At 48.0% G+C, this 13,366-nt stretch overlaps 1 annotated feature.

The window, feature by feature from the left end:
* Positions 4,488-4,837: an enhancer, noted in NCBI's record as "active region_19870". NCBI's record gives its function as "activates an Ori minimal core promoter by ATAC-STARR-seq in GM12878 lymphoblastoid cells {active_cell/tissue: GM12878}" and the evidence as "EXISTENCE:reporter gene assay evidence [ECO:0000049][PMID:35858748]".

Raw genomic sequence — 13,366 nt, 5'->3', positions numbered from 1 at the left:
GTGGCTCATGCCTGTAATCCCAGCACTTTGGGAGGCCGAGGTGGGCAGAATACGAACGAGGTCAGGAGTTCGAGACCAGCCTGACCAACATGGTAAAACCCCGTCTCTACTAAAAATACAAAAATTAGCCGGGCGTGGTGGCGGGTGCCTGTAATCCCAGCTACTCAGGAGGCCGAGGCAGGAGAATCGCTTGAACCTGGGAGGCGGAGGTTGCAGTGAGCCGAGATCGCGCCACTGCACTCCAGCCTGGGCGACAGAGCGAGACTCCATCTCAAAAAAAAAAAAGGGCCAGGCGCTGTGGCTCACGCCTGTAATCCCAGCACTTTGGGAGGCCAAGGCGGGCGGATTGCCTGAGCTCAGGAGTTCGCGACCAGCCTGGGCAACACGGTGAAACCCCGTCTCTACTTAAATACAAAAAATTAGCCGGGCGTGGGTGCCCCTATAGTCCCAGCTACTTGGGAGGCTAAGCCGGAAAATCGCTTGAACCAGGAAGGCGGAGGTTGCAGTGAGCCGAGATCGTGCCACTGCACTCCAGCCTGGGCGACAGAGCGAAACTCCATCTAAAAAAAATAAAAATAAAAATAAAAGAAATGTGGCTAGTTCAAATTGAGATGTGCTGTAAGTGTAAAATATACACCAATGTCAAATATTTCGTATGGAAAAAATGACCTAAACTAATATTTTAAACATTAATTTTTATGTTGAAATGATCATCTTTTATATACAAGTGAAATATCCTATTAAAATAAATTTAACCTATTTCTTTCTTTCTTTTTTTCTTTTTTTTTTTTTTTGAGACGGAGTCTTGCTCTGCTACCCAGGCTGGAGTGCAATGGCATGATTTTTGGCTCATTGCAAACTCCACCTCCTGGGTTCAAGTGATTTTCCTGCCTCAGCCTCCCAAGTAGCTGGAATTACAGGTGCCCACCACCACACCCAGCTAATTTTTGTATTTTTAGTAGAGACGGGGTTTCACCATGTTGGTCAGGCTGGTCTTGATCTCCTGACCTCAGATGATCCACCTGCCTTGGCCTCCCAAAGTGCTGGGATTACAGGCGTGAGCCACCGTGTCTGGCCTCACTATGTCGCCCAGGTTAGAGTTTAGTGGCATGATCATGGCACACTGCAGCCTCCACCTCCCAGGTTCAATCGATTCTCATGTCTCAGCCTTCCCGAGTAGCTGGGATTTACAGGCAGATGCTACCACACCCAGATAATTTTTTTTTTTTGAGATGGAGTCTCGCTCTGTCGCCCAGGCTGGATGGAGTGCAGTGGTGCAATCTCGGCTCACTGCAAGTTCCACCTCCCGGGTTCATGCCATTCTCCTGCCTCAGCCTCCCTAGTAACTGGGACTACAGGCGCCCGCCACCACGCCTGGCTAATTTTTTGTATTTTTAGTAGAGACAGGGTTTCTCTATGTTGGCCAGTCTGGTCTTGAACTCCCGGCCTCAAGTGATCCACCTGCCTTGGCCTTCCAAAGTGCTGGGATTACAGGCATGGGCCACCTTGCCCAGCCGAGACTTTTTATTTATTTAGTTATTTTGAGATAGGGTCTTGCTCTGTTGCCCAGGCTAGAGTGCAGTAATATAATCATGGCTCACTGCAGGCTAAAACTCTCCAGCTCAAGCAATCCTCTTGTGCCTCGGTCTCCCGAGTAGCTGGGACTACAGGCGTGTACCACCATGCCCACCAATTTTTTTTTTTTTTTTTTTTTTTTTGGTAGAGATGAGGTTTCCCTCTGTTGCCAAGGCTGGTCTTAAACTTCTGGGTGCAAGTGATCCTCCTGATTGGGCCTCCCAAAGTGCTTGGATTACAGTTGTGAGTCACCTCGCCCAGCCTAAGGGAGACTTTAACTATGAGTTATATCTATCTATGTTTATGATATTAGAAATTAAAACTGAGAAAACTTTAAACTATTTCTTTTTGTTTGTTTTCTTTTTATTGAGACAGGGTCTCACTCTGTCACCCAGGCTGGACTGCAATGCTGAGATCATATGTCACTACAGCCTTGACCTTCTGGGCTCAAGTGATCCTCCTGCCTCAACCCCCTGAGTAGCTGGGACTACAGGTGTGTGCAACCACACCCAGCTAATTTTTCTTTTTTTTTGCAATGTTTGTGGAGATGGGGTTTTGCCATGTTGCCCAGGCTGTTCTCTAACTCCTGACCTCTGGTGACCCGCCTGCCCTGGCCTCCCAAAGTTTTGGGATTACAGGTGTGAGCCACAGCACCCGGCTACTATTTGCCTATAAACAATAGGCCGGGTGGGTCACCTGAGTATTAAATCATATTTATAGCAGGCCATTGGTTTGGGTAGAACTCCTGTACTAGGCCCAAAAGACCAAACCAAAATTGAGTTACTTGTGCTGAAGTGCCATTCCACGAAGCTGCAACTAAATTATTTATCTAATCTTCCAAGAAATTAGGAGAGAGAGGCCGAGTGCAGTGGCTCATGCCTGTAATCCCAGGACTTTGTGAGGGCGAGGCAGGCGGATCACTAGAGGTCAGAAGTTCAAGACCAGCCTGACCAACATGAAGAAACTCCATCTCTACTAAAAATACAAAATCAGCCCGGCGTGGTGGCGCATACCTGTAATCCCAGCTACTTGGGAGGCTGAGGCAGGAGAATTGCTTGAACCCAGGAGGCAGAGGTTGCAGTGAGTGAAGATCATGCCATTGCACTCCAGCCTGGGCAACAAGAGCAAAACTCCATCTCAAAAAAAAAAAAGAAAGAAAGAAAAAGAAAAGAAATCAGGAGAGAGAGAGATAATAGCCAAATCTCCAAACAAGTCAATTTTAGACAACATGATAGAGAAATTCCCTCTGCTTTAACCTCTACAAAGAACATACTTTTGAAAGAACCAATCCCCTTTTGTTCACTGTTTCTGCTTTCCTCAACCCTTTTCTGCCTACGCAGCCAAACTGCTCTGCTCAGTTCATCAGAACACTCACTGTATTTTATTTTATTTTATTTTTTTGAAACAGAGCCTCACTCTGTTGCCCAAGCTGGAGTGCAGTGGCGCAATCTCAGCTTATTGCAACCTCCACCTTCCGGGTTTAAGAGATTCTTGTGCCTCAGCCTCTGGAGTAGCTAGGATTACAGGCATGTGCCACCACACCTGGCTAATTTTTGCATTTTTTAGTAGAGACGGGGTTTCACCATGTTGGCCAGGCTGGTCTTGAACCCCTGGCCTCAAGAGATCCACCTGCCTCAGCCTCCCAAAGTGTTGGGATTACAGGCGTGAGCCACCACGCCCAGCCTCATTCTATTTTATAGAATGAAGTGTTGCCTGATTGTGGAATCATAGATAAAAGCCAGTTAAGATCCTTAAACTAGCTGGGCACTGTGGCGTGCACCTGTAGTCTCAGCTACTCAGAAAGCTGAGATGGGAGAGTCACCTGAGCCCAGGAGTTCAAGGCTTCAGTGAGCCACTCCACTGCATTCCAGCCTGAGCGACAGAGATTCTATCTCAGAAAAAAAAAAAAAAAAGAAAGAAAAGAAAAAAGGAAAAAAAAGGAGATCCTTGCTGGGCACAGTGGCTCACGCCTGTAATCCCAACACTTTGGGAGTCCAAGACAGGTGGGTCACCTGAAGTCAGGAGTTCAAGACCAGCCTGGCCAACATGGTGAAACCCTGATTCTACTAAAAATACAAAAATTAGCCAGGTGTGGTGGCGGGTGCCTGTAATCCCAGCTACTCAGGAGGCTGTGGCAGGAGAATCATTTGAACCTGGGAGGTAGAGGTTGCAGTGACCTGAGACTGCGCCATTCCACTCCAATCTGGGCAACAAGAGCAAAATTCCATCTCAAAAAAAAAAAAAAAGCGATCCTTAAACTAAATTTGTTGTGATTTTGTTTTTGACAAGATTGGAAGATGGATTAAAAGAGACAAGATCCAGCTATATGCTGCCCCCAAGAGTCTTACTTTAAATATAAGGACACTTTGGGAAGTTGAGGTGGGCAGATTGCTTGAGCTCAGGGTTTCGAGACCAGCCTTGGCAACACCATGAAACCCAGTCTCTACAAAAAATACAAAAACTAGCTGGGTAGGGTGGCCTATGCTTGTAGTCCCAGCTATTCAGGAGGCTGAAGTGGGAGGATGGCTGAGATAGGCCACTGCACTCCAGCCTGGGCAACAGAGCCAGACCTTGTCTCAAAGAAAGAATGAATGAATGAATGAATGGCCGGGCGTGGTGGCTCACACCTGTAACCCCAGCTCTTAGGTAGGCAGAGGCAGGAGAATAGCTTGAGCCCAGGAGTTCCAGACCTGCCTGGGCAATATAGCGAGACCCCATTCTCCACCAAAAAAAAAAAAAAGACAATAAATAAATAAATGAACACAAAGAAATTATAAGAAATGGCCAGGCCCAGTGGCTCACGCCTGGCACTTTCAAAATCCTAGCACTTTGAGAGGCTGAGGCGGGCAGATCACATGAGGTCAGGAGTTCGAGACCAGCCTGGACAACATGGGGAAACCCCGTCTCTACTAAAAATACTAAAAATTAGCCAGGCGTGGTGGTGGGCGCCTGTGATCCCAGCTACTTGGGAGGCTGAGGCAGGAGAAGTGCTTGATCCCAGGAGGTGGAGGTTATAGTGAGCCGAGATCATGCCACTGCACTCCAGCCTGGGGAACAGAGCGAGACTCTGTCTCAAAGAAAAAAAGAAAAAAAAGAAAAAAATTGTAAGAAAAAATAGCTCAGAGCAGTCTGAATTATGTGTGGTGTGCAGGCACAGAGAGACTTCCGGTATGAAACTTCAGTCATGCTCCCTCCCTCAAGCCCATGCCTGGGGGCAGTTGCTTAAGGTTATTTTGGGTCAGGCACAGTGACTCATGCCTGTAATTCCAGTGCTTTGGGAGACAGAGGCAGGAGGATCCCTTGAGGCCAGGAGTTTGAGACCAGCCTGAACAACATAGTGAGCTCCTGTCTTTACGAAAAAAAGTAAAGAAAAATATTCTTGCTGTAGCCTGAGCCTGCAGTCCTAGTGCTAGTCCCAAGAGGAGTGCTTGAGCCCAGGAGTTTGAGGCTGCAGTGAGCTATGATTACACCACTACACTCCAGCCTAGGTGACAGAAGCAATAGCTTGTCTTGAAAAAAAAAGTCATTTTGTTCTTGACTGCCTCACCCATTATCTTCATGCTCCTGGAATTTGTGATATAAAGAAGCAATGGGGCCTGGGCAGGGTGGCTCACACTTGTAATCCCAGCACTTTGGGAGACTGAGACTGGAGGATTGCTTGAGTCCAGGAGACCAGCCTGGGGAACATAGTGACACCCTGTCTCAATTAAAAAAAAGAAAAAAGAAACAATATATAAGCAATCAATGGCTTATGTTATTTTAATATAAGTTATTGGTAACAACTCAGGAATTGCTTCTTCTTTCCTTTAAAAATCCACCTGTACAGCCAGCATGGTGGCTCATGCCTATAATCCCAGCACTTTGGGAGGCCGAGGCAGGCAGATCACCTGAGGTCGGGAGTTCGAGACCGGTCTGACCAAAATGGAGAAACCCCATCTCTACTAAAAATACAAAATTAGCTGGGCGTGGTGGCACATGCCTATAATCCCAGCTATTCCAGGGGCTGAGGCAGGAGAATCGCTTGAACCTGGGAGGCAGAGGATACAGTGAACTGAGATCTCGCCATTGCACTCCAGCCTGGGCAACAAGAATGAAACTTCATTTAAAAAAAAAAAAAAAAAAAGACCAGGCTGGGCTCAGTGGCTCACGCCTGTAATCCCAGCACTTTGGGAGGCTGAGGCGGGTGGACCACGAGGTCAGGAATTCAAGACCAGCCTGGCCAAGATGGTGAAACCCAATCTCTACTAAAAATATAAAAATTAGCCAGGTGTGGTGGCAAGCGCCTGTAATGCCAGCTACTCGGGAGGCTAAGGTAGAGAATTGCTTAAACCCGGGAGGCAGAGGTTGCAGTGAGAAGACATTGCGCCACTGCACTCCAGCCTGGGCAACAGAGTGAGACTCAGTCTCAAAAACAAAACAAAACAACAACAAAAAATAAATGGCTGGGCACTGTGTCTCACACCTGTAATCCCTGCACTTTGGGAGGCCGAAGGGGGCGGGATGACGAGGTCAGGAAATCGAGACCATCCTGGCCAACATGGTGCAACCCCATCTTTACTAAAAATACAAAAATTAGCTGGGTATAGTGGTGCATGCCTGTAATCCCAGCTACTCAGGAGGCTGAGGCATGAGAATCACTTTAACCCAGGAGGTGGAGGTTGCAGTGAGCCAAGATCACACCACTGCACTCCGGCCTGGTGACAGAGCAAGACTCTGTCTCGGCCGGGTGTGGTGTCTTACACCTGTAATCCCAGCACTTTGGGAGGCTGAGGTGGGCGGATTATCTGAGGTCAAGAGTTCGAGACCAGCCTGGCCAACAAGCTGAAACCCCATCTCTACTAAAAATACAAAAATTAGCCAGGTGTGGTGGTGGGCACCTGTAATCCCAGCTACTCAAATGACTGAGGCAGGAGAATCGCTTGAACCTGGGAGGTGGAGGTTACAGTGAGCCGAGATTGAGCCATTGCACTCCAGCCTGGGTGACAGAGCGAGACTCCGTTTCAAAAATAATAATAATAATAATCCATCTGTACTTGCTACTAATCAGCATATATATATATATATATATATATATATATTTTTTTTTTTTTTTTTTTTTTTTTTTTTTTTTGAGACTCTGTTGCCCAGGCTGGAGTGCAGTGGTGTGATCTCAGCTCACTGCAACCTCCACCTCCCGGGTTCAAGCGATTATCCTGACTAAGCCTTCCAAGTAGCTGGGATTACAGGCACCCACCACCATGCCCGGCTAATTTTTCTATTTTTAGTAGAGACAGGGTTTCATCATGTTGGCCAGGCTGGTCTTGAACTTCTGACCTCAGGTGATCCACCCACCTCAGCCTCCCAAAGTGCTGGGATTACAGGCATGAGCCACTGCACCCGGCCATCAGTGTATTATTATTATTTTGTTTGTTTGTTTGTTTGTTTGTTTTTTGAGACGGAGTCTCACTCTGTCACCTGGGCTGGAGTGCAGTGGCGAGATCTTGGCTCACTGCAACCTCTGCCTCCCAGGTTCAAGTGATTCTCCTGCCTCAGCCTTCCGAGTAGCTGGGATTATAGGCGCCCGCCACTACGCCTCGCTAATTATTTGTATTTTTTTTAGTAGAGACAGGGTTTCATCATGTTAGCCAGGCTGGTCTCAAACTCCTGACCTTGTGATCTGCCTGCCTTGGCCTGCCAACGTGCTGGGATTACAGGTGTGAGCCACTGTGCCTGACTTTTTTTTTTCTTTCTTTTTTTTTTTTTGAGACGGAGTCTCACTCCATTGCTGAGGCTGGAGTGCAGTGGCATGATCTTGGCTTACTGCAACCTCTGCTTCCCAGCTCCAAGCAATTCTCCTGCCTCAGCCTCCCAAGTAGCTGGGATTACAGGTGCGCACCACCACACCCGGCTAATTTTTTGTGTGTTTTTAGTAGAGACGGGGTTTCACCATGTTGGTCATGCTGGTCTCGAACTCCTGACTTGTGTTCTGTTCACCTCAGCCTTCCAACGTGCTGGGATTACAGGTGTGAGCCATGGCACCTGGCCCAGTGTATATTATTAAGGACAACACAATAGTATGTTCTTGGGTAGAATATTAATCTATGTTCTTGGGTAGCAATCCTCAAGCTTGGCCCAAATAAACTCTCTACTTATATTAATTTTGCCTCAGCTTCCTCTTTTTAGCTTTACATAAGAAAAGGGTGGAAAAATATATTCCATGCAAATAATAACCAAAAGAGAGCTGGAGTGGCTATATTATTGTAAGTGAAAATAGACTCAAATCAGGTTACAAGAGGCAAAGACATTATATGTGTGTCCTTATATATCTGGACAGACACACACAGACACACATGCATATTTTTTCAAGATAGGTCACCCAGGATGGGGTGCAGTGGCATGAATACAGCTCTCTGCACCCTCCACCTCCCAGGTTCAAGTGATCCTCCAACGTTATCCTGAGTAGCTGGGACTACAGACATGGACCACCACACTCAGGTAGTTTTTTTTTTTTTTTTTTTTTGAGACAGAGTTTTGCTCTTGTTGCCCAGGCTGGAGGGCAATGGTGTGATCTTGGCAGCTCACTGCAACCTACGCCTCCTGGGTTCAGGCGATTCTCCTGCCTCAGCCTCCTGAGTAGCTGGAATTACAGGGGCCCACCACCACGCCTGGCTAATTTTGTATTTGTTTTTTTTTTTAGTAGAGAAAGGGTTTCTCCATGTTGGTTAGGCTGGTCTCCCACTCCCGACCTCAGGTTATCCGCCCGCCTCAGCCTCTCAAAGTGCTGGGATTACAGACATGAGCCACCTTGCCTGGCCAATTTTTTACTTTTTGTAGAAATCGGGCCTCCCCAGAGGTTGCAGTGAGCCAAGATTGTGCCACTACACTGCAGCCTGGGTGACAGAGTAGGACTGTCAAAAAAGAAAAGAAAGGGCCGGGCACAGTGGCTCACGCCTGTAATCTCAGCACTTTTGGAGGCTGACATGGGCAGATCACCTGAGGTCGGGAGTTCGAAGCCAGCCTGACCAACATGGTGAAACCCCATCTCTACTAAAATTATCAAATTAGCTGGGTGTGGTGGCGCATGCCTGTAATCCCAGCTACTCGAGAGGCTGAGGCAGAAGAATCGCTTGAATCTGGGAGGTGGAGATTGCGGTGAGCCAAGACCGCACCATTGCACTCCAGCCTGGACAACAAGAGCGAAACTCTGTCGCAAAAACAAAACAAAACAAAGCCGGGGGTGATGGCACGCTCCTGTAGTGCCAGCTACTTGGGAGACTGAGGCAGGTGAATCGCTTGAACCCAGGAGGCAGAGATTGCAGGGAGCCGAAATCTTGCCATTGCACTCCAGCCTGGGCGACAGAGCAAACTCTGTCTCAAAAATAAATAAATAGGCTGGGCGCGGTGGCTCACGCCTGTAATCCCAGCACTTTGGGAGGCCTAGACAGGAGGATCATGAGGTCAGGAGATCAAGACTATCCTGGCCAACATGGTGATACCCCGTCAAAAATTAGCTGGCCGTGGTGGCGTGTGCCTGTAGTCCCAGCTACTTGGGAGGCTGAGGCAGGAGAAACGCCTGAACCCAGGAGGCAGAGGTTGCAGTGAGTTGAGATCATGCCACTGCACTCCAGCATGAGGTCAGAGCAAGACTCTGTCTCAAAATAAAAAAATAAATAGGCCCATGCCAGGTGCAGTGGCTCACGCCTGTAATCCCAGCACTTTGGGAGGCCGAGGCAGGCGGATCACCTGAGGTCAGGAGTTCGAGACCAACCTGACCAACATGGAGTAACCCCGTCTCTACTAAAAAATACAAAATTAGCAGGGTGTGGTGGTACATGCCTGTAATCCCAGCTACTTGGGAGGCTGAGGCAGGAGAATCGCTTGAACTCAGGAGGCAGAGGTTGCGGTGAGCCGAGAATGCGCCATTGCACTCCAGCCTGAGCAACAACAGTGAAACTCCGTCTCAAAAAATATATAAATATAAATATAAATAAATAAATAGGCCTGGCGTGGTGGCTCACACCTGTAATCCCAGCACTTTGGGAAGCCAAACAGGGTGGATCATGAGGTCAGGAGTTCAAGACCAGCCTGGCCAAGATGGTGAAACCCCGTCTCTACTAAAAATACAAAAATTACCTGGGTATGGTGGCAGGTGCCTGTAATCCCAGCTACTCAGGAGGCTGAGGCACGAGAATCGCTTGAACCTGGGAGGTGGAGGTTGCAGTGAGCCGAGATCGTGCCACTGCACTCCAGCCTGGGCAACAGAGTGAGACTCCAACTCAAAAATAAATAAATACATAAATAAGGCCGAGCACGGTGGCCCACGCCTGTAATCCCAGCACGTTGGGAGGCCGAGGTGGGTGGATCACTTTAGATCAGGAGTTCGAGACCAGCCTGGCCAACATGGTGAAACCCTGTCTCTACTAAAAATACAAAAACTAGCCAGGCGTGGTGGCACGTGCCTGTAATCCCAGCTTCTTTTGAGGCTGAGGCAGGAGAATTGCTTGAACCTGGAAGGCAGAAGGTGTAGTGAGCCAAGATCATGCCACTGCACTCCAGGCTGAGGGACAAGAGTGAAACTCTGACTGTAACAAAGAAAATAAATAAATAAATAAATAAATAAAGCCAGGCACGGTGGCTCACACCTGTAATTCCAGCACTTTGGGAGGCCAAGGTGAGTGGATCACTTGACATCAGGAATTTGAGACCAGCCTGGCCAACATGGTGAAACCCCGTCTCTACTAAAAATGCAAAAATTAGTCAGGTGTGGTGGCACACACCTGTAATCCCAGCTACTCAGGAGACTGAGGCAGCAGAATCTCTTGAACCTGGGAGGAGGAGGTTGCAGTGAGCTGAGATTGTGCAACTGCACTCCAGCCTGGGCGACAGAGCAAGACTCCATCTCAAAAAATAAAAATAAAAAATAAAACTATGAAAAGGACAGTGGTAGGCCGGGCACAGTGGCTCACGCCTGTAATCTCAACACTTCGGGAGGCCGAGGCGGGTGGATCACCTGAGGTCGGGAGTTTGAGACCATCCTGACCAACATGGAGAATCCCTGTATCTACTAAAAATACAAAATTAGCCAGGCGTGGTGGCGCATGCCTGTAATCCCAGCTACTAGGGAGGCTGAGGCAGGAGAATCGCCTGAACTCGGGAGGCGGAGGTTGCAGTGAGCCGAGATCGTGCCATTGCCCTCCAGCCTGGGCAACAAGAGCAAAACTCCGTCCAAGAAAAAAAAATAAAAGGGCAGTGGTAGTTATATGTATATAAACAATTTGTTTTTGGAGAGTCAGGGTCTGGCTATGTTGCCCAGGCTGGAGAGCAGTGGCTATTTACAGGTGTGATCAGGTATGTGCAATCTCTTTTGGCTGACTGGTAATTTTGAAATGAATGCCAAACATTGTAAATTTTACCTTTTCAAATGCTGGATAGCATTGTATTCCTATAGATATTTTTGAGCATTGTTCTTTAATACATTTAAACATTTGATTATTTTGAGGCTTGATTTTAATCTTTGTTAGGTAGGATCAGAGTAGATTTTAGCTTCACACAAATTTTCATCCATAATGTATGGCAATACCCTTTTTTTTTTTTCTGGAGACAGAGTATTGGTCTGTCGCCCAGGCTGGAGTGCCCTGTCACGTTCTTGGGTCACTGCAACCTCTGCCTCCTGGGTTCAAGCAGTTCTCATGTCTCAGCTTCCCAGGTAGCTGGGCTTACAGGTGTGCACCAACAATACACCTGGCTAATTTTTGTATTTTTAGTAGACATGGGGTTTCCTCATGTTGATCACGCTGGTCTCAAACTCTTGGCCTCAAGTAATCCACCTGCCTCAGCCTCCCAGAGTGCTGGCCAGCAATACCCTTTTTTTTGAGAAGGAGTTTTGCTCTTGTTGCCCAGGCTGGAGTGCAATGGCGCAATCTTGGCTCACCACAACCTCTGCCTCCCGGGTTCAAGCGATTCTCCTGCCTCAGCCTCCTGAGTAGCTGGGATTACAGGCATGTGCCACCACGCCCAGCTAATTTTGTATTTTTAGTAGAGATGGGGTTTCTCCGTGTTGGTCAGGCTGGTCTCGAACTCCCGACCTCAGGTGATCTGCTCACCTCAGCATCCCAAAGTGCTGGGTTACAGGCATGAGCCACCTCACCTGGCCTTTTTTTTTTTTTTCTGTTTTTTTTTTTGAGATGGAGTCTCACTCTGTTGCCCAGGCTGGAGTGCAGTGGCGCAATCTTGGCTTACTGCAACCTCTGCCTCCCGGGTTCTAGCGATTCTCCTGTCTCAGCCTCCTGAGTAGGTGGGACTATAGGCACGCATCACCACACCTGGCTAATTTTTTATATTTTTAGTAGAGATGAGGTTTCATCATATTAGCCAGGCTGGTCTCGAACTCCTGATCTCATGATCCGCCCCCATCGGCCTTCCACAGTGCTGGGATTACAGGCATGAGCCACCGCACCCGGCCCAGCAATACCCGTTTAAGCATGCTACACAATGCCCCATGAATTAGGAGGGCTTTAGCTATGGCTGGTGGAAACACAATTTCTGGCTCAGACTAAGAGTTGCTGATTGTTATTTTTACTCTTTTTGGGTAATTCTTTCACTGGCTTGGGTAGTTTCCTCACATACTCGTAAGATTTGGTGATAGTTATCTTATTCTTTTTTGTTTGTTTGTTTGTTTTTTGAGACGGAGTTTCACTCTTTTTGCCCAGGCTGGAGTGCAATGGCACGATCTCGGCTCACTGCAACCTCCGCCTACCAGGTTCAAGCAATTCTCCTGCCTCAGCCTCCCAAGCAGCTGGGATTACAGGCACCCACCACCATACCTGGCTAATTTTTTGTATTTTTAGTAGAGACGGGGTTTCACCATGTTGGCCAGGATGGTCTTGATCTCTTGACCTCGTGATCTGCCCACCTTGGCCTCCCAAAGTGCTGGGATTACAGGTGTGAGCCACCGGGCCTGGCCTAGTTATCTTATTCTTTTTGGGTAATTCTCTCCCTGGGGTTGGGTAGTTTCCTCACATACTTGTGCTGATTATCACTCAGCTGAAGCCTCAAGGAACCGCCTTGGAAATCGCCTGTTATCTCTCTATGGAGTTCTGTCCTCTCTAATCTCTAATCATTTTGCCTCTCCAAATTGCCACTTTGTTTCTCTTATTTTTTATTTTTCTTTTTTTAAGATGGAGTCTCCCTCTGTCACCGAGGATGGAGTGCAGTGGCGCGATCTCAGCTTACTGCAACCTCTGCCTCCCAGGTTCAAGAGATTCTCCTGCCTCAGCCTCCCAAGTAGCTGGGACTACAGGTGTGCACCACCACGCCCAGCTAATTTTTGTATTTTTTTTTTTATTTTCAAGATGGAGTTTCACTCTTGTCACCCAGGCTGGAGTGCAATGGCGTAATCTCGGCTTACTGCAACCTCTGCCTTCCGGGTTGAAGCGATTTCTCCTGCCTCAGCCTCCCAAGTACCTAGGATTACAGGCTCATGCCACCATACTGGACTTTTTTTTTTTTTTTTGAGACAGAGTTTCCCTTTTGTTGCCCAGGCTGAAGTGCAATGGCTCGATCTTGGCTCACTGCAACCTCCACCTCCTGGGTTCAAGCGATTCTCCTGCCTCAGCCTCCTGAGTAGCTGGGATTACAAGCATGGGCCACCATGCCTGGCTAATTTTTTTGTATTTTTAGTAGAGACGGGGTTTCTCCATGTTGGTCAGGCTGGTCTCAAACTCCCGACGTCAGGTGATCCGCCCGCCTTGGCCTCCCAGCATGCTGGGATTACAGGTGTAAGCCACCGCGCCCGGCCTTTTTTTGTATTTTT

The sequence above is a fragment of the Homo sapiens genome, chromosome 3, assembly GCF_000001405.40.
Source record: "Homo sapiens chromosome 3, GRCh38.p14 Primary Assembly".
NCBI lineage: Eukaryota > Metazoa > Chordata > Mammalia > Primates > Hominidae > Homo > Homo sapiens.
The sequence above is the reverse complement of the archived record's forward strand: the minus strand, read 5'-3'. Positions and strand labels throughout refer to the sequence as shown.